The sequence below is a fragment of the Homo sapiens genome, chromosome 17 (genome assembly GCF_000001405.40).
Source record: "Homo sapiens chromosome 17, GRCh38.p14 Primary Assembly".
Taxonomy (NCBI): Eukaryota; Metazoa; Chordata; class Mammalia; order Primates; family Hominidae; genus Homo; species Homo sapiens.
The window spans coordinates 43,508,571-43,527,615 of NC_000017.11; the positions used below are offsets into that span (position 1 = coordinate 43,508,571).

Below are 19,045 nucleotides of genomic sequence, written 5' to 3' on the forward strand. Positions count from 1 at the left end.
GTGCAGCCTGTCAGCCATAGTAGGGATTGCTTAGGGTGTATGCAAGTCTTTTTTTTTTTTTTTTTCCTCGAGGCAGAGTCTCGCTCTCACCCAGGCAGGAGTGCAATGGCACCATCTCAGCTCACTGCAAGCTCCGCCTCCCGGGTTCACGCCATTCTCCTGCCTCAGCCTCCTGAGTAGCTGGGACTACAGGCACCTGCCACCACGCCTGGCTAATTTTTTGTATTTTTAGTAGAGACGGGGTTTCACCGTGTTAGCCAGTATGGTCTCGATCTCCTGACCTCGTGATCCGCCCGCCTCAGCCTCCCAAAGTGCTGGGATTATAGGTGTGAGCCACCGCGCCCGGCCAGGTGTATGCAAGTCTTGTTTGTTAGGTTTCAGAGACTGGTCCAACCAATTTGTTTAGGAATGAGGTCCAACCAATTTGTTTAGTATGTGACCTCTCCTCTTCTTCCTCTTCTTCATTTGACAAATATTTTTTGAGCATCTACCAGGCTTTGGGCTACACATGGGAGCTGCATTGTGAGAACAAGCCTCTATCTGCTGTGGGGCATCCCCCAGTCAACAGACTTTCAGCATTTAGTGTGAAAATGCCACTCATGCTTGGATACCCAGGCGGGAGCACCCAACCCTGTCTTCCTAGAGGAAATAAGGATCTAAGGTAGTCCTGGAGAACTCTTGAAAGGCAAGGGGACAAGCATTCTAAGGACACAGAACTATCTGTGATGGCCTGGAGACGAGCAAGTAGGGCCAGTTCAGGGAATGGCATAGTTCCAGTGGCTGGAACCAAGTATATGACTGTGTGTATGAGACAACAGGAAAGGAGACAGATGGATGTAGGTATTTTTTTAGTAACAGTTTTATTGAGATATAATTTACATACCTTTCAATTAACTCCCTCCACCTCCCACTTATTTTTTTTTTTTTTTTTGAGATGGGGTCTCAGTCTGTCACCCAAGGTGGAGTGCAGTGATGTGATCTCAGCTCACTGCAACCTCTGCCTTTCAGGCTCAAGTGATCCTCCTGCCTCAGCCGCCTAAGCAGCTGGGACTACAGGTGCATGCCACCATTCTTGGCTAATTTTGGTTTTTGTTTTTGTTTTTGTGTTTTTTTTTGAGACAGAGTTTCACTCTTGTTGCCCAGGCTGGAGTGCAACGGCACAATCTCGGCTCACTGCAACCTTCACCTCCCAGGTTCAAGCGATTCCCCCGCCTCAGCCTCCCGAGTAGCTGGGACTATAAGCACCCACTACCACGCCTGGCTTATTTTTGTATTTTTAGTAGAGATGGGGTTTCCCCACGTTGGCCGGGCTGGTCTCGAACTCCTGACCTCATGTGATCTGCCGGTCTCGGCCTCCCAAAGTGCTGGGATTACCGGCGTGAGCCACTGCGCCCAGCCAATTTTTGTATTTTTTTTGTAGAAACACAGTTTCGCCATGTTGCCCAGATTGGAATTTACTGTTTTTTGTTTGTTTGTTTGTTTGTTTGTTTGTTTTGAGATGGAGTTTCGCTCTTGTTGCCGAGGCTGGAGTGCAATGGTGCGATCTTGGCTCACCGCAACCTCCGCCTCCCAGATTCAAGTGATTCTCCTGCCTCAGCCTCCCGAGTAGCTGTGATTACAGGCATGTGCCACCACACCCGGCTAATTTTGTATTTTTAGTAGAGACAGGGTTTCTCCATTCTGGTCAGGCTGGTCTCGAACTCCTGACCTCAGATGATCTGCCCCCCTCGGCCTCCCAAAGCGCCGGGATTCCAGGTGTGAGCCACCGTGCCCAGCCAGAATTTACCCTTTTAAAGTGTACAGTTCAAAGGCTTTTACCCATGGTATGTGGGGATTGGTTCCAGGACCCCCGAGGATACCAAAATCCAAGTATGCTCAAGTCTCTTATGTAAAATGCCATAGTATTTGCATGTAAACTATGCACATCTTCCTGTGTGATACTTTATCTCTAGATTACCTATAATACCTCATACAGTGTAAATGCTATATAAGCAGTTGTTTTACTGTATTTTTTATTTGTATTTTTTTATTGTTGAATTTTTTTCCTCAAATATTTTTAATCTGCTGTTGGTTGAATCCATAGATGGGGAACCAGCAGATACAGAGGGCTAACCATATTCACAGAATTGTGCAGCCATCACCACAATTATATTTAGAACAATTTTATCTCCCTAAAAAGAAATGCTGTACCCTTTAGCAGTCATCTACCCCCATTTACTCCTCTGCTCAGCCTCTGGAAACCACTAACCTATATCTTCCATCTCTGTGGATTTGCCTATTCTAGACATTTCATATAAATGAAATCACATATTTGTGGCTGGCTTATTTCCAGTGATTTTTCCAGACTTAGCATGTTTTCAGAGTTCATCAACATTGTAGTATGTATCAATACTTCATTTCTTTTTCTTGCTGAATACTGTTGTGTTGTATGGGCACAACACATTTTGTTTATCCATTTATCAGTTGATGGACATTGGAGCTGAGCGCAGTGGCTCACACCTGTAATTTCATCACTTTGGGAGGCTGAGGCAGATGGATCACCTGAGGTCAGGAGTTCAAGACCAGCCTGGCTGATATGGTGAAACCCTGTCTCTACTAAAAATACAAAAATTAGCCAGGCGTGGTGGCGGGTGCCTGTAATCCCAGCTACCTGGGAGGCTGGGACAGGAGAATCACCTGAACCCAAGAGGCAGAGGTTTCAGTGAGCCGAGATCGTGCCATTGCACTCCAGCCTGGGCAATGAGCAAAACTATCTCAAAAGGAAGATAAAGATAGACATAGGAGTCATTTTCACTTTTGGGCTTTCTTGAATAATGCTGCTGTGAACATTTGTTTACACATTTTTGTGTGAGCCAGGCGCAGTGGCTTATGCCTGTGATCCCAGCATTTTTTTTTTTTTTTTTTTGAGACAGAGTCTTTCTCTGTCATCCAGGCTGGAATGCAGTGGCATGATCTTGGTTCATTGCAACCTCTGCCTCCCAGGTTCAAGTGATTCTTCTGCCTCAGCCTCCTGAGTAGCTGGGATTACAGGCATGTGCCACCATGCCTGGCTAATTTTTGTATTTTTAGTAGAGACAGGGTTTTGACATGTTGGCCTGGCTGGTCTCGAACTCCTGATCTCAGATGATCCATCCGCCTCAGCCTCCCAAAGTGCTAGGATTACAGGCATGAGCCACCACGCCTGGCAGATCCCAGCATTTTTGGAGACCAAGGTGGGAGGATCCCTTGAGCCCAGAAGTTCAAGATCAGCCTGGGCAACATGGTGAGACCCCTATCTCTACAAAAAAAAAAAAAAAAAAAAATCAGCCAGGCGTGGTGGCACATGCATAGTCCCAGCTACTCAAGAGATTGAGGTGGGAGGATCACTTGAGCCTGGGAGGGTGAGGCTGCTATGAGCCATGATCACACCACTATACTCCAGCCAAGGCTACAGAGCAAACCAGACCCTGTCTCAAAAAAGAAAACCAAGTTTTTGTGTGGACGTATGTTTTCATTTCTCTTGGACATATACCTAAGAGTAGAAGGCAGATGGACTTGGCCGGGTGTGGTGGCTCACACCTGTAATCCCAGCACTTTGGGAGGCTGAAGCGGATGGATCATGAGGTCAGGAGTTCGAGACCAGCCTGGCCAACATAATGAAACCCAGTCTGTACTAAAAATACAAAAATTAGCCAGGCATGGTGACACGTGCCTGTAATCTCAGCTACTCGGGAGGCTGAGGCAGGAGAATCGCTTGAACCCGGGAGGTGGAGGTTGCAGTAAGCCGAGATTGCACCACTGCACTCCAGCTTGGGCAACAGAGTGAGACTCTATCTCAAAAAAAAAAAAAAAAGGCAGATGGACTTGAGTAATGTTAAAGAGTTAAAATGGACAAGACTTGGTGGGTACTAGCAGGTAAAGGGAAGAAGGGTGAGGGAAGTCAGGCATGACTGTCAGGTTTCTGGCTTGGGCAGCTGGATGGAAGATGGCACTGAGGAGGGAAACATGGGAGGAGGCTTGAGTGGAAAGATGGTGAATTTCTCCCCTATTCTATTCCTAATAATGAGAGTTCTTTCTAAGCAGGGCTTCTGTAGTTCTGTAGCAGGTAGAAGCCTTTCAGGACCAGTAAGATGCTGGCATGATGCGTGATATTCCGGTGCCCCCAGTGATGATTTTTCCAAGCAATTGTGTTTTATTAGCTGAACCTTTGGGTGGAAGAACAGTGACAGTGCCAAGCTGAGACTAATAATCCTCCAGATCACATAGACTGCTACACACACGCAAACTGTGAAATTCCTGTGTCATCTCATGGTTCATTTTATGATCAGTAAAAAGAAGCAATCTCCCTCTTGTTCCACATACATATTCCGCAAAATACAAGCAGCTCATTTTTTAGTCCAGATGTCTCGGTAGGGGAAAGAAAAATCTCATTTTGCATTGGCACATGTGATGCCAGGAAATCTCTGCTTTCCCAGGGTGCTAGAAAATTAAAATTGTAGTAATCAACATTGGATCTAGAAAATGAGATACACAGTAGCTATTTGCACCAAATGAAATTGGCTTTTATTGGCTGTAGCTTTTTCCTATTCCACTCACCTCTCAGGTACCATCCCTTTTCCAACTTAACCATTAAGCAGAAGGTACCTCCCTTCTGCTGTTGGAGGCTGAGCTGGGATTAAGTGTCATTTTAACCGTCTAGAGAGAGAGATAGCCACATATTCCTTTGGGAAGATATCTGGGTTCAGAAGACCTTTTCACACCTCAGGGCTGAGCCTGGGCACCTCACTCCAGCTTTGCCCCTCTTGCCTGCAGGTTGTGATTGCCACCAATATCGCAGAGACATCGCTGACTATTGATGGTATCTACTATGTGGTGGACCCAGGATTCGTGAAACAGAAAGTTTACAATTCCAAGACAGGGATTGACCAGCTCGTGGTGACGCCTATTTCTCAGGTATGACGGCTTGTATCAACAGTTTTCCTGATAATCCTGATTAGGGCCTTTCTGAAACTTTTTTATGGTTATATATTTCAAACTTGTTTTCAAAGATGAACTTTTATGATACTGGGTACTATAATGACATGAGGGAAGGATTTTTTGTTATTTGTTTTTAATCTTTTTTTATCCCTGAAGTCTGATTGATCCTTGAAGTTTTTAATCTTTTTTTTTTTTTTTTTTTTTGAGACTAAGTTTCACTCTTGTTGCCCAGGCTGGAGTGCAGTGGCGCAATCTCGGCTCACTGCAACCTCTGCCTCCTGGGTTCAAGCGATTCTCCTGCCTTAGCCTCCCAAGTAGCTGGGATTACAGGCATGTGCCACCACACCTAGCTAATTTTCTATTTTTAGTAGAGACGGGGTTTCATCATGTTGGTCAGGCTGGTCTTGAACTCGCAACCTCAGATGATCCACCCGTCTTGGCCTCCCAAAGTGCTGGGATTACAGGTGTGAGCCACCACGCCCGGCCCTTTTTAATCTTTAGAATAGTATTTCACTATTAAAATGCCCCCGTAAGGCCAGACACCTTGGCTCACACCTGTAATCCCAGCACTTTGGAATGCTGAAGTGGGAGGATTGCTTGAGGCCAAGAGTTCTAAACTAGCCTGGGCAACATAGCAAGACTCTGTCACTATAAAAAATTTAAAAAAAATTAGCCTGGTATGGGGGCATGTGCCACCAGTCCCAGCTGCTTAAGAGTCTGAGGTGGGAGGATCACTTGAGCCCAGGAGTCTGAGGCTGCAGTGAGCTAAGATAGCATCACTGCACTCTAGCTGGGGCAACAGAGCAGACTGTGTCTCTAAAATAATAATTTGTTTAAATGCCCCATAAAACTAGAACATAAAAAAAGTTTGAATCCTAGTACCCTATATTACCTATTTTAGATGGAAAGATCAGTACTTTATTTTCTAGTACCTTGCTTAGCTACGAGATAGATATCTGAGATAATAATAAATTATATGATTTTCTGGTTTTTTGGTAATTATGGAATAATTTCCTGCCTAAATGACATTTAAAAATGAATTACCCGATCACTTTTTTGAGAGAAGTTTGGCAACAGTATATCCAAAACTTAAATGTTCATCTCTTTAACCTAACTGTTCTGCTTATAGAAATTTATCTGAAAGTTAGAAATGATTAAATACATGTCCAAAGGTAATAGAAAAGGATGTTCATCGAAGGATTGGTTTATATCAGAGGAAACCTGGAAAAAATTCTAAATGTATTCCAAAAGGGAAGTAGTTTAATAAATTATGGTATATTCATGCCATAGAATGTTGGTGGCATTAACATGGTGGTGTGTATCTATATTTAATGACATAAACATGTAACTATAATATTTTCTTTGAAAAAGTGAGCCTACAAAACAGCATGAATGGTATAATCCAATTTTTGTTTAAAAATAGATGGTGAGCATTTCTTCAGAGTATGTGTGAGTGAGCTGTGCCCAAGATTGAAAGCATGTAGTCTAAATGTTAGCCAAGATTATTTATGGGTGGTGCTACTAGATGATGTGCATTTTCTTTTATACTTTTATATGTTGTCTTAATCTTTTACAGTGGGTATGTATTACTTTCATAATTTGTGAAAGCCTTAAGGCTATTTTTATTTTGAAACTTAAGTAATAATAATAGCTAACACTTTTTGTTTTGTTTTGTTTTTTGAGATGGGGCCTTGCTCTGTCGCCCAGTTTGGAGTGCAGTGGTGCAATCTCAGCTCACTGCAACCTCGGCCTCCTGGGTTCAAGTGATTCCTCTGCCTCAGCCTCCCAAGTAGCTGGGACTACAGGCGCATGCCGCCATGACCACCTAATTTTTGTATTTTTGGTAGAGATGGGGTTTCACTGTCTTAGCCAGGATGGTCTCCATCTCCTGACCACATGATCCACCCGCCTCAGCCTTCCAAAGTGCTGGGATTACAGGCATAAGCCACCGCGCCTGGCCCAATAATAGCTAACACTTACAGTGTACTTAACGTCCTAGATACATGCATTGACTTGGTGCATTCTCGCATTGATCCTATGTGGTAGATATTATTTTCACAGATGAGGAACCTGAGGCACAGAGGGGTTAGGTGATTTGCCTAACATCACAGAGCTAGTGGAGCCAAGATTTGAACCTGGGTAGCCTGGCTCCAGCTTGTATGCTCTATACTACTTGTCAGGGTGGCGGTGATCAAAAAATTAGTTACACATGCCTGTCCTGATTTGGAGAGAGACATGTGTAGAATGCTGTAGAGTCCAGCCACTGTGTGTGATTGCTGCCTGGATTTGTGTGGTTAGTTGTCCTTTCATAACCTATCCTTTGGTTTGGAGCTGGCATAGTAATTTGTAAATCCTGGTACTGTTTGTAACAACAGATGGTTTTGTCAGAAAATGGCCCTCTTCAGATTGCTATTCATTGTTTCCTAGCAACCTATGGCTAAACTACATTTTTTTTAATTAAAAAAAAATCAGTGTTTTTGAAGTAGTGTTTTATTATTTTTGAAAAACAGAAGAAAAAAATTTACCCACCATCCTACTACCTCCACTGTTATTATTTTGCTGTTTTTCATTCCAGTCTTTTTTCATGTTTATTTCTTTCATGGTTGCAATTTTAGTAGTCAAGTAAGTATGCAGTTTTGTATATTTTTTTGAGTATTTAATTTTCCTATTAGAATAATACATGTTCAATATTTGGTAAAATCTAAAGAAAATAGACCTCATCTGCAAGCCTACTATCAGAGTTAGCCACTGTTAACATTTTAGGGTTTTTTTCGCCTAGTCATTTCCTTCTAGTAGTTGATATATAAAGACTTTTACTAAAATTATTTTACATTGTTTCGTAACTTGCATTTTGCATTTAATGCGAATGAACATTTTCTTCTGTCATTTAACATTGCAAACATGATTTTTATTTTTATTTTTTATTTTATTTTGAGTCAGGATCAGTCTTTGTTGTTGCCCAGGCTGTAGTGCAGTGGTGTGATTACGGCTTACTGCAGCCAGCCTCGACCTCCCCAGGCTCAGGTGATCGTCCCATCTGAGCCTCCTGAATACTGGGACTACAGGCGTGAGCCACCACACCAAGCTAATTTTTGTATTTTTTGTAGAGATGAAGTTTCAACATATTGCCCTGGCTGATCTCGAACTCCTGGGCTCATGCAATCTGCCCACCTTGGCCTCCCAAAGTGCTGGGATTATAGGCATAAGCCACGACGCTTGGCCTGCAAACATAATTTTTAAAATGACTGCAGAGTCATCATTGGGATGATTGACGTAATATGTTTATTTCACTTACATTTTTGGTCATAACTGTGGGGATGGTGTTCTGTCATCTTGTTTTATGCTTTCTCTTTTATATTGCGCCACACTATTTTGAAGATATATGTCTCAGATCTGTATAATATTTCTTCCATTAACCCTGCTTGTATTGCCTCCCTCGAACAAACTTCCCCGAAGTGCTGAGTATGGAGAGGGGAAGATAAGAGCATTGGTAGTCTTGGAAATGGTCCCAAAGGAAGTGAAATCAACCCCATTTCTGATTTTGCCAGTTGTTAATTGTCCCCCTTTTAACAGATATCCTGGGTAAAGCTGTTAAGCAGTGTTTAACAGATATGTTGCTTTTATATGCCCACCCCTCTAGGCTCAGGCAAAGCAACGAGCTGGCAGAGCTGGGAGAACAGGCCCAGGGAAGTGTTACAGGTTGTACACAGAACGTGCCTACCGAGATGAAATGCTGACCACCAACGTGCCGGAAATCCAGAGAACCAACTTAGCAAGCACAGTGCTGTCACTCAAGGTAGAAATCACTGTCTTGTTAAAATGGGTTGGTGGAACAGTCCAATCCTGGCCTTCATAAATGAATTTCAGTTTTATGAACCTTGTTAAATACTTTAGTAACCTCATGAAAGCAGTCCCTTTGAGTGAAATGCAAATGGCTGTGATAACAGCCTCTCACGGCAGGTCTGGGGCTAAGTTGGCATGTCTGCTGTGAACACACATTTTTTCTTACCATAACAACCAGCAGGATATTAGGTTGTAAAAGGTTCTAGTTAGGAGCATTTTCTAAAAGGAAATTAGAAAAATATAATCAATGCCAAACTGTGGACACACACACCTAACCTCAACCACTTTAGCGCTCAGATCCAATTCTGTTCTTTTAGAACGAGAGAAAACCCCCTGTTCAAAAACTTTGCAAGGGAACTGTCAGTACAGATTTCAGACTGGCTCTCAGGGGCTTGGTTTTCATTCTGAATCATTGTTCTTCCTCTCTCAGTCCCCAGTGAGGACTTCATTCTCTTTTGGCAGGAGGAGCTGTATGAGTAATTTCCCAGCTGATGGCGTTTCCCCCGACACTGATGCTACCCTGGAGCCCTGGTACTTTCTGGTGCAGAGTGCTCTGTTGTCATTTATTATTTATTCCCTGTCAAAGAGGCTAAAACAGAGCTTTGGAAAGAAAAAAGAAACCTACTCCAGTCTCTGAAGTGCCAACAGAGAGGCATCTGTGGCTTGGACTTCAGCTCCAAACTGCGACTTTGGGCAAGTTTATTTACTTTGCCCTCTGCTCTGTGTTCTGCTCTGAAAAAGGGGCTGTTAATAGTATTTGTTGGAAAGATAAGTGAGATAATGTAGGTAAAGGCACTTGGCACAGTGCTTGATGATTGCTAACATAATTCATCATAGTTATTATTCACACAATAAACATTTATTGAACACCTGCTGTGTTTATGGTCACAATCACTTTATGAGAAAGAAATAGAAAGCTTAGGTCCTACCACATCACACTTTATATACACTTGAATCGTGCATCATTCAGTCGTTTCTTTTATTCATCGAATTAGCTAATGTATTGAACACATGCTACATGCCAGGCATGTAGATTGCACTGTGGTGGTTTTGTGAACATAGTTTTTACCCAGTGTGAACTCTCTGAAAGCAGGGGCCATATCCTGGCCATCTTTATATCCCTCCCACCTAACATGGTATGAGATCCCTCATAGATATATAGTAGAAATGATGTATGCAAGAGACAGGACAAGTTGGTAGACTATATTATTATTATTATTATTGTAAAATACATAACAACATTTACTATTGTAAGCTTTTTAAAGTATACAATTCAGTGGCATTAAATACATTCAAGATGTTGTACAACCATCACCAACATCCATTTCCAGAACTTTTTCATTGTCCCAAACAGAAACTCTGTACCCATTAAACAGTAACTCCCCTTTCCCCCTTCCTCTATCCCTTGGTAACTACTCTTCTACTTTTTACCTCTCTGAATTTGTCTATTCTAGATAGCCTCATTTAAGTGGAATCATACAATATTCTTTTGTATCTGACCTGTTTCTCTTAGAATAATGTTTTCAAGATTTATTCATGTTATTTTCAAGGTTTATCCATTTATTTCATTCCTTTCTAAGGGTGAATAGTATTCTGTTGTATGTATATACCACATTTTGTTTATCCATTCATCAGCAGATGGACATTTGGATTGTTTCTACCTTTTGGCTATTATCAATAATGCTGCTGTGAACATTAGTGTGCAGGTATCTGTTTGAGTCTGCTTTCAGTTCTTTTGGATATATACCTAGAAGTGTAATTGCTGGGTCATGTGCTAATTCTGTATTTAGCCTATTAAGGAACCACCAAACTTTTCTACAGTGGCTGCAACATCTTACATTCCCACCAGCAATGCATGAGGTTTCTGATACCTCCCGTCCTCACTGACATTTGTTAGTTTCTGTTTTTTAAAAAAATTATAGCCATCCTAGTGGGTATGAAGTGATATTTCATTGTAGTTTTGATTTGCATTTCCCTAATTACTACTGATGTTGTGCATCTGTGCATCTTTTTATGTGCTTGTTGGCCATTTGTATATCTTCTTTGAAGAAATGTCTATTCAAGCTCTGTGCCTATTTTTTAAATTGAGTTGTTTGTCCTTTTGCTGTTGAGTTGTACATATTGTCATTTTGAGAGAGTGTTAGGGTTTTTTGTTTTTTTTTTTCTTGGAAGACGTTTTATCATGTTGCCTAGGCTGGTCTCAACTCCCGGACTCAAGCGATTCTCCCTCCTTGGCCTCCCAAACTGCTGAGATTACAGGTGTGAGCCACCATGCCCAACTGAGAGAATATTTTCAAAAAGTTTCCTGAGAAATTATGTGCTTTCCTTTGGGAGGCCGAGGCAGGCGGATCACTTGAGGTCAGGAGTTCAAGACCAGCCCAGCCAACATGGTAAAACGCCATCTCTACTGAAAATACAAAAATTAGCTGGGCATGATGGCGGGTGCCTATAATCCCAGCTACTTGGGATGCTGAGGCAGAAGAATCGCTTGAACGTAGGAGGTGGAGGTTGCAGTGAGCTGAGATTGGGCCACTGCACTCCAGCCTGGGTGACAGAGTGAGACTCTGTCTCAAGTATGTGCTTTCTATTATAATAGTCTGAGTTTTATGTGGCCCAGCCCTGGAAGTTACCGCCAGTCTCACCGGTGGCTTCCTAATTGCAATTGAAGAAATGGGAAATAAAGTAACAAGTAGCTTCCCCACATGCTGACACTGGCTAGACTGACCCTCTTATCACATGCCTTCTTCCTTTCTGTTCTAGGCCATGGGTATCAATGATCTGCTGTCCTTTGATTTCATGGATGCCCCACCTATGGAAACTTTGATCACAGCCATGGAGCAGCTGTACACACTGGGGGCCCTGGATGACGAGGGCCTGCTCACTCGCTTGGGCCGCCGGGTAAGGGACAGACTCAACTTCCTGTGCTTTTGGGAAGATTCCCTGGTCAGCCTTTCACATCCTTCGGTCTGTACAAAATCAGGCTGAGGCCGTGGATAAGCTTTGAGTAAAATTCTAAATGTTTGTTTTTAACCTGAATTTCTCCACTGTCACTTTAAACTGTTTCTTCTTTATACAAAAAGGTGTTCTGTTCATAATTTTGCCTGAGGATGTATTACTGAATGTAGCCTTAATTAGAAACGGCATCTGCAAAATTCTCATCTACCCCAACAGTAGTTATATGCTTGGTCACATACATCCCGTTGGAGTTTATTTGGGAAAAGAATAAACAACAGCATTCTTCTGATAGAGAAAGGCATCCCAAGGCATCATTATGCTTTGGGAAAATCTGTGTTGTTACCCACTCTGACCAAGGTCTTGCTCTGGTGAATCCAAATGTGTCTTCCACAGGGAAGCAGTTGTAGTCTTTTTTTGTCCCTCTAGATGGCAGAGTTCCCTCTGGAGCCAATGCTATGCAAAATGCTCATCATGTCTGTGCATCTGGGCTGCAGTGAGGAAATGCTGACCATTGTATCCATGCTGTCTGTGCAGAACGTCTTCTATAGGCCCAAGGTAGGAAGTTCAGATCCAAGTTTAGATGGGGGTGCCATGAAGTTGGGGTAGTTGGCCTGTTGCCATTCCAATGCTTGATGTGGACTTTTTTTTTTTTTTTTTTTTTTTTGAGATGGAGTCTCACTCTGTTGCCCAGGCTGGAGTGCAGTGGAATGATCTTGCAATCTCTACCTCCCGGGTTCAAGCAGTTCTCCTGCCTCAGCCTCCAGAGCAGCTGGGATTACAGGCGTGCGCCACCGTGTGCTGCTAATTTTTGTATTTTTAGTAGAGACAGGGTTGCACCATGTTGGCCAGGCTGGTCTCAAACTCCTGGCCTCAAGTGATCCTCTTGCCTCAGTTTCCCAAAATGCTGGGATTACAGGCCTGAGCCATCATGCCTAGCCTGATGTGGACACTTTTGATAGGGTCTTGTAGGGCTCCCTAGAATTGCTCCATGTTCAGTTAGTAGCTGTTGAGTCGGAAATGTTCCTCTGTCCCACTGCTTGGCAGGATAAACAAGCCCTTGCAGATCAGAAGAAGGCCAAATTCCACCAGACTGAAGGGGACCACCTCACCCTGCTAGCTGTGTACAACTCCTGGAAGAACAACAAGTTCTCCAACCCATGGTGCTATGAGAACTTTATCCAGGCTCGTTCCCTGCGCCGGGCCCAGGACATTCGCAAGCAGATGTTAGGCATAATGGACAGGTAAGCTGGAATCTGATGACTCTGCATGTTTGAGTTGAACCACCTTGAGTATCATGTCTTTTCATCTCTGTGTGTACCTATAAAGCTATAGGCACCTTTTCTCTTGCTCCTCACATAACCCTTTTCCTCCAGCTTTTCCATCTTTGTTATATTCCTTCTCCCCAAGTAAGGGTATGCCTGAGAATTACCTCAGATACCTAAGAGGAAGATTATCTGTTAGTTGTTGAAAAAAATGCTCTTTGTTTGCAACCCTCTGGAACATTATTACTGTGGAATTGAATACCTGTCTAAACAAAGTGTCTGTCTCTGAGTGCCTCCGTCTGCCCACTGTGTAGAGCTGCCTCTGTAGTACACTTAGGGCTGGAAGGAAGGTCCTGGTGACTACTCTGGGCACCCCAAGATGGATGTGTTGGGCACTGTCATTGTGAAAATAGACCTGTGAAAGCTGAGTGGGCTCATATCTTTTGTCCTATCTTGATAGACACAAGCTGGATGTTGTTTCCTGTGGCAAGTCCACAGTCCGAGTGCAGAAGGCCATCTGCAGTGGGTTCTTCCGTAATGCTGCCAAGAAAGACCCGCAGGAGGGTTACCGGACACTGATCGACCAGCAGGTGGTCTATATCCATCCTTCCAGTGCCCTCTTCAACAGACAGCCAGAATGGTAGGTGGACATGTCCCAGGGTCTAGGGGCTTTTCTGGGCAGAGAAAAACCTGTAAATTTCCTGGTATTTTGTGATTGTGTCTTCACTACTCCCAGTATGTCCTAGTATAACACTGCTTGCCTTTCTAGAGCAGCAGAAACCTGAATTAGGCACAATGTATCAAACCCTATGAGAGAATTAAAATCATAGGGGTGAGACCTAGTTGAAAAAAAAAATTGTGGTTTAAAAAACTACGTAGTGGCCAGGCACAGTGGCTCATGCCTGTAATCCCAGCACTTTGGGAGGCTGAGGTGGGCAGATCAGCCGAGGTCGGGAGTTCAAGACCAGCCTGACCAACATGGAGAAACCCTGTCTCTACTAAAAATACAAAATTAGCCAGGTATGGTGGCGCATGCCTGTAATCCCAGCTACTTGGGAGGCTGAGACAGGACAATCGCTTGAACCCAGGAGGTGGAGGTTGCAGTGAGCCGAAATCACCCATTGCACTCCAGCCTGGGCAACAAGAGCGAAACTCCATCTCAAAAAAAAAAAAAAAAAAAAACCAACTACCTAGGGGCTAGGCATGGTGGCTCACGTCTGTAATCCCAGCACTTTGGGAGGCCGAGGCAGGTGGATCACCAGAGGTCAGGAATTCCAGGCCAACCTGACCAACATAGTGAAACCATGTCTCTACTAAAAATACAAAGTTAGCCAGGCGTGGTGGCAGGCACCTGTAATCCCAGCTACTTGGGAGGCTGAGACATGAGAATAGCTTGAACCCGGGAGGCAGAGGTTGCAGTGAGCTGAGATTGTGCCATTGTACTCCAGCCTGGGAGACAGAGTGAGACTCCGTCCCAAAAAAAAAAAAAAAAAGAAAGAAAAAAACAACTACCTAGTGATGTAGTTTAAAAAAAAAAACTTGTTTTAAAGTAGCATTTTTAAAAAATTGGACTCTATCTAGAACCCTAATATAAAACTGATTTAAAACCACCATGTTATCACAGTAGAAGGGTTAGAAATGTGGCTCCTTGCATGTTTGGCCTTCTCCATCCCTTGTGGCAGTGTGAGGCCCCTCTTCAGAGCCCTAGAATTCTGTGGAAACATTCTAATAAACATCCTCACATTTTATAGAGCAAGAAACAGATTAGAGAAGGGATGTGATTGGCTCCATGTCACTTAACTAGTTAGAGCCAGAGCCAGGACTAGAATACATTCTCCTGAGACCTTTCTTGTGGTTAGAGGTGTGCGGGTGCTTCAGTATTGGGGTGTGGCTGTCATAAACAGACTGCAGTCTTATAGGTGTCAGGCAGGAGAGGTAATAGTATAAAATGTAAGCTCAGCTGAGGCCTACTAGGGACCAGGTTGACTGTAGAGTGGGGCCTATATCCAGAGGCTTGAGTACTATCTCTGTCCCCCCTCAGGGTGGTGTACCATGAGCTGGTGCTCACCACCAAGGAATACATGCGTGAAGTTACCACCATCGACCCTCGGTGGCTTGTGGAGTTTGCCCCAGCCTTCTTCAAGGTCTCAGACCCAACTAAGCTAAGCAAACAGAAGAAGCAACAGCGTCTTGAACCCTTGTACAACCGCTATGAGGAACCCAATGCCTGGAGAATATCTCGAGCTTTCCGACGGCGCTGAAAGGCAAGATTGTTCCTTTGCCTCTCCAGCAGCAGTAGCCAGGGCTTGGACTTATCGATGACAGGCTGGTCCTGAGGATACAGCTGTCCCGTGACTGACTGTCTTAACTGAGCATTTTCTCAACTCGACTCTCATTTCTTCCCTGCTGGTAAAATAGAAACAGGGATTTAAACCTGGCTTTGGCAAGAGCCTGCAGCCTCCATCACCCCAAGTCCTTGGGCCCAGTTGGGAGCTCATATCTAACACAGAGACACATTGCATCAACTTCAAGAAAGGGACAATTTGTGCAGCTCCAGGATGGGAAGGTGGAGTGGGTGAGCATCTTGTGCAGGGACATGGTGAGTGCCCTGATGCCCCAGCTAGCAGGAGCTACTGTGCTCATCTAAAGTGTTTGCCCCACTTCCCACCCCGTCTCCAGCCCCTGTACTTTGGCTTGACCTCGTGGAAATATTTATTTTCTTAAGGAAACAAAAATGGTTTTCTGTGACTGTTTTCTTTTAGCCGAAAGGTTAGGATATTGGCCTGGGCTCAGGGTGAGGGAGATTTAGTATCTGTGCTCTGGCACACATGATGAGAATCCCCTGAATCCCCTGAAACCAGAACGCAGGGCCTCTTTGCGCTCGGAAACGACGTACAACCCAGACTTCCAGCCTTGTCTTTCAGCATCAGCACTAGCCGGGCCGTGCTGGGGGATCACCCGATGATCAACCATGTCCTCTCCACAGAGCACTTCAGTCTGGAGGCCTGAGTGGCTACAGATGGCACATATTAAATACAGAAGGTTTCCCCTTGCTCCCTCCACCTCCCACATTCGCAATGTGCAGCATGTCCCATTTCCTTTTGAAACATACTAAGTAACAACACAGCTTTTATTTTATTTTGTTTTTATTTTTTTCCCCTGAGGTCCTGGATGGACTTTAACAAAGGGATTTTATGGTCAAAACCTCCCTTTCCCCACTCCAAACAGAAAACAAACATAACACCTCTCCTCTCAGCTGGTTTGTGCTGCCAGTATCTGTGCTGCAGGGCTTGTTCTTAGTGGTTTTTTCCTAGCACTTGCTTGGAGAATAGCCACCTCCTTGTGCCCTCCTCACAGCTCCTGAGGAGGGTTTTTTTTTTTTCTTCCCATAGAGATGGGTTCCCACTGTGCTGCCCAGGCTGCTCTCCAATCCCTGGCGTCAAGCAATCCTCCTGCCTCTGCCTCCCAAAGCGCTGGGATTACAGTTGAGAGCCACTGTCCTCTGCACTGAGGAGGCTCCTTACCTGGCGGAACATCAGGCAGGTCTTGCCAGGCCAGGTTTCGGAACTTACGGAAAGCTGGTCTGGATGTAGTGCTTGTAGAGAAGCTTCTGAGAGATTGGGCACATCCTGTTACGTTGCTGCTTCTCCTGTCCTTATGTTATTAGTAAGTTCTGAAGTGATGTAAATGCTAGAACTACTGTAGAACTGTATGCCAGACACTAAGAGAGACTATGTAACATTCCAGGATATAAAGGAATGTATGTTGTCACTGGGCAGCAAACCACACCCTAAAGACAATTCAGAAAGAGTCCGAGGGAGAGGAATATAGGCCAGGCAATCTGCTGGCTGCAGATCCCTGCCCCTTCATTAAGCTGAGTGCCTCCTGATTCTGTCTGAGTATTCGCCTTTGTAAGCCCAGGCCAGTAATCAAGGGGCAGGGCATTGTTGTGTGTTAACCTTGAAGGCCTTCTGGGGAGAGACAGTACAGGGACCTCAAATGAAACCAAAGGGGAAACGGGGACTGGGCACCCACCTCCCCAATCTCGTTTTGTTTTTGTTTTTGTTAAGACAGGATCTTGCCATCTTGCCTAGGCTGGCATCAAACTCCTGAGCTCAAGTGATCTTCCTGCCTCAGCCTCCTGAGTAGCTGGGACTACAGGTGCATGCCACCACACCTGGCTCCCAGTCCTAATTCCAGCCTAAATTTTCCCCATTCAGAAACACTCCTGGATATAGTGGCCCAGCCTGTCCTGACTGAGTGCCCAGCACTGACAATGTTGACACCTGGGGAGGGAGGGTTGGGTTTCAAGCTGAGGTTGAAAAGGGATGTTGAATGGGCTAAGGATAAGAGACAGCAGGGTTCGTTATCTTTTCTGGCTCAGGTGGAGGAAAAAGAAGGATCCCCATTCTGTGGGTGTTCCTTGACCATCTCTCTACGCTAGAGCTGAGGTCACTTCTCTGCTATGACAACATAGCTGGGTTCTGACCTTTTGACCATCAGGAAAGCAATGTCAGCAGCTGAGCTGAGCCTGCTCTGAGGGAGAAGGGGGGGGTCCTGTCCAGATGCAGAAGGGGAGCTTGCCTGCTGCTCTCACACAATGGAGCCCTTGTTTCTCTTCCTTGAACCAGTATTTCCCAAGATTGAGTGACAGCCCAGGAGAGGATGTGGGTCTCATGCAGAGAGCTGGGATCTTCTTGGCCATTAAAGTATATTGTTCACCCCCACCCCGCGAGAACCAAGCTCAGGAGTTGCCTGCCTCTGCACACATGCTGAGTGTGCTGTTTGTGTATATGGCAGGACCGTCCCTATGGGGCATGTGTGAGCTCCGCAGCTGGGTCAGGCTCCTCGGTCCAGGTTTACTTCATCCCGCCTGGACGTGATTTGGCTTTGACTGTCTCTCCTGCAGCCCAAAGCACTTCCTCCCTGTGGTTGCTGTAGCTGTCTCATTGGAGCAGTGCCTCTCCAAGTTTGAGGATTTGAACAAAGAACTGGGACTGGTGACTTGTTAATGAACAGTTCAGAGGGCAGAGGGCCATCATCTCAGCTTGTGGAGACCTTTCTTTCCCTGGATGCTGCTTCTCAGCTAACTCCCTCTCTCTTCGTGTGTGTACTCGGCCTTCAGGGTTTCCACCGATTTTTACACCTTCTTCCCACCACGATAGCTTGGCTTTAATGTGGAATTAAATTATATATTTTTAAAACCTGTTTTTAAAATTTTGTTTCTTGCACTAAATTATGTCAGTACATTGATATTTTGTGTTTCTAGGAAGAAGTAATGTTGCCTTTTATTTGTGGGTAGTAGTCGAGGGGCATCCCTTCCTGCAAGGGATGGTCTCAGGTTGGTGCTGGGCCAACCTGAGACATGAACAGAGTTGGGCTGGCCCAACCTCAGCACAGCTGCAGTTTCTATTTAACAGGAGAGCACCGGTTTTTACCTGAGCATGTCTCCTGGGCAGCGGTTTACATAGCAGCTGGCTCTAGAACCACCCATTCTGCCCCTCCCACCTGTTGTCACATCTCAGTCATACGTCCTCCATAGGTGTCACCATGTTGTCCACTTTGCCATTTCTACCTACCCCCAAAAAACTCAGCCTCAGGACTCTGATCTCTCCCAAATTTGGGCAAGGAGAATCTAGGTGTTTCCCACTCCCCGGAAGATCTAATCTCCACTGGCCAGAATCCAGGGCCTGCTCTAGCCTCTCTCTGTACCATCTGGCCTGGGAGCCTTTCTCCTTTGCCCCATTCTCCAGACAAACACTTGTCCCCAACCCCAGCAAAAGTAGCAACCTAGAGCTGAGGTAGGAGGGAGGACATGCAATTGGGGTCTATGTGGGACAGCAGGGTCATGGGAACAACTGGGATCACAGAAACCAAAGACCAAAACCCTGTCTGAGGAAGTCCCAGGAGGGAGACCCTTGCCACTCAGTAGCCCACCTGACCCGCCCACAGGGGCAGGGAGACTGCTGCTGGAAGCAGGCCCAAAGTGCACAAGGGGCGCCTGTCCAGGTTATCAAGTACCCCCTGTC

At 44.9% G+C, this 19,045-nt stretch overlaps 1 protein-coding gene across 12 annotated transcripts in view, besides 1 other annotated feature; it reads left to right on the plus strand.

The window, feature by feature from the left end:
* Window positions 1–19,045, plus strand: part of DHX8 (DEAH-box helicase 8) — a 60,825-nt gene that overhangs the window by 24,596 nt on the left and 17,184 nt on the right. For 6 of the 12 annotated variants that reach the window (NR_136227.2, NR_136226.2, NM_001322216.2 and 3 more), the window contains 7 exons: window positions 4,792–4,932; window positions 8,597–8,752; window positions 11,560–11,697; window positions 12,181–12,309; window positions 12,799–12,995; window positions 13,477–13,656; window positions 15,058–17,100. Coding sequence is in view for 8 of the 12 variants with exons in the window: in NM_001322216.2 (NP_001309145.1) it covers window positions 4,792–4,932; window positions 8,597–8,752; window positions 11,560–11,697; window positions 12,181–12,309; window positions 12,799–12,995; window positions 13,477–13,656; window positions 15,058–15,277 (1,161 nt within the window). In the remaining 4 variants the exon portion in view is untranslated. Of the gene's footprint in view, window positions 1–4,791; window positions 4,933–8,596; window positions 8,753–9,261; window positions 9,493–11,559; window positions 11,698–12,180; window positions 12,310–12,798; window positions 12,996–13,476; window positions 13,657–15,057; window positions 18,221–19,045 lie in introns of those variants that run through there. The other 6 variants (NM_001302623.3, NM_001322218.3, NR_136228.3 and 3 more) reach the window with 5 other exon arrangements.
* Window positions 17,271–17,565: a silencer, noted in NCBI's record as "tiled region #5739; K562 Repressive DNase matched - State 17:Gen3'". NCBI's record gives its function as "represses a minimal TATA promoter and a strong SV40 promoter by Sharpr-MPRA in K562 cells {active_cell/tissue: K562}" and the evidence as "EXISTENCE:reporter gene assay evidence [ECO:0000049][PMID:27701403]".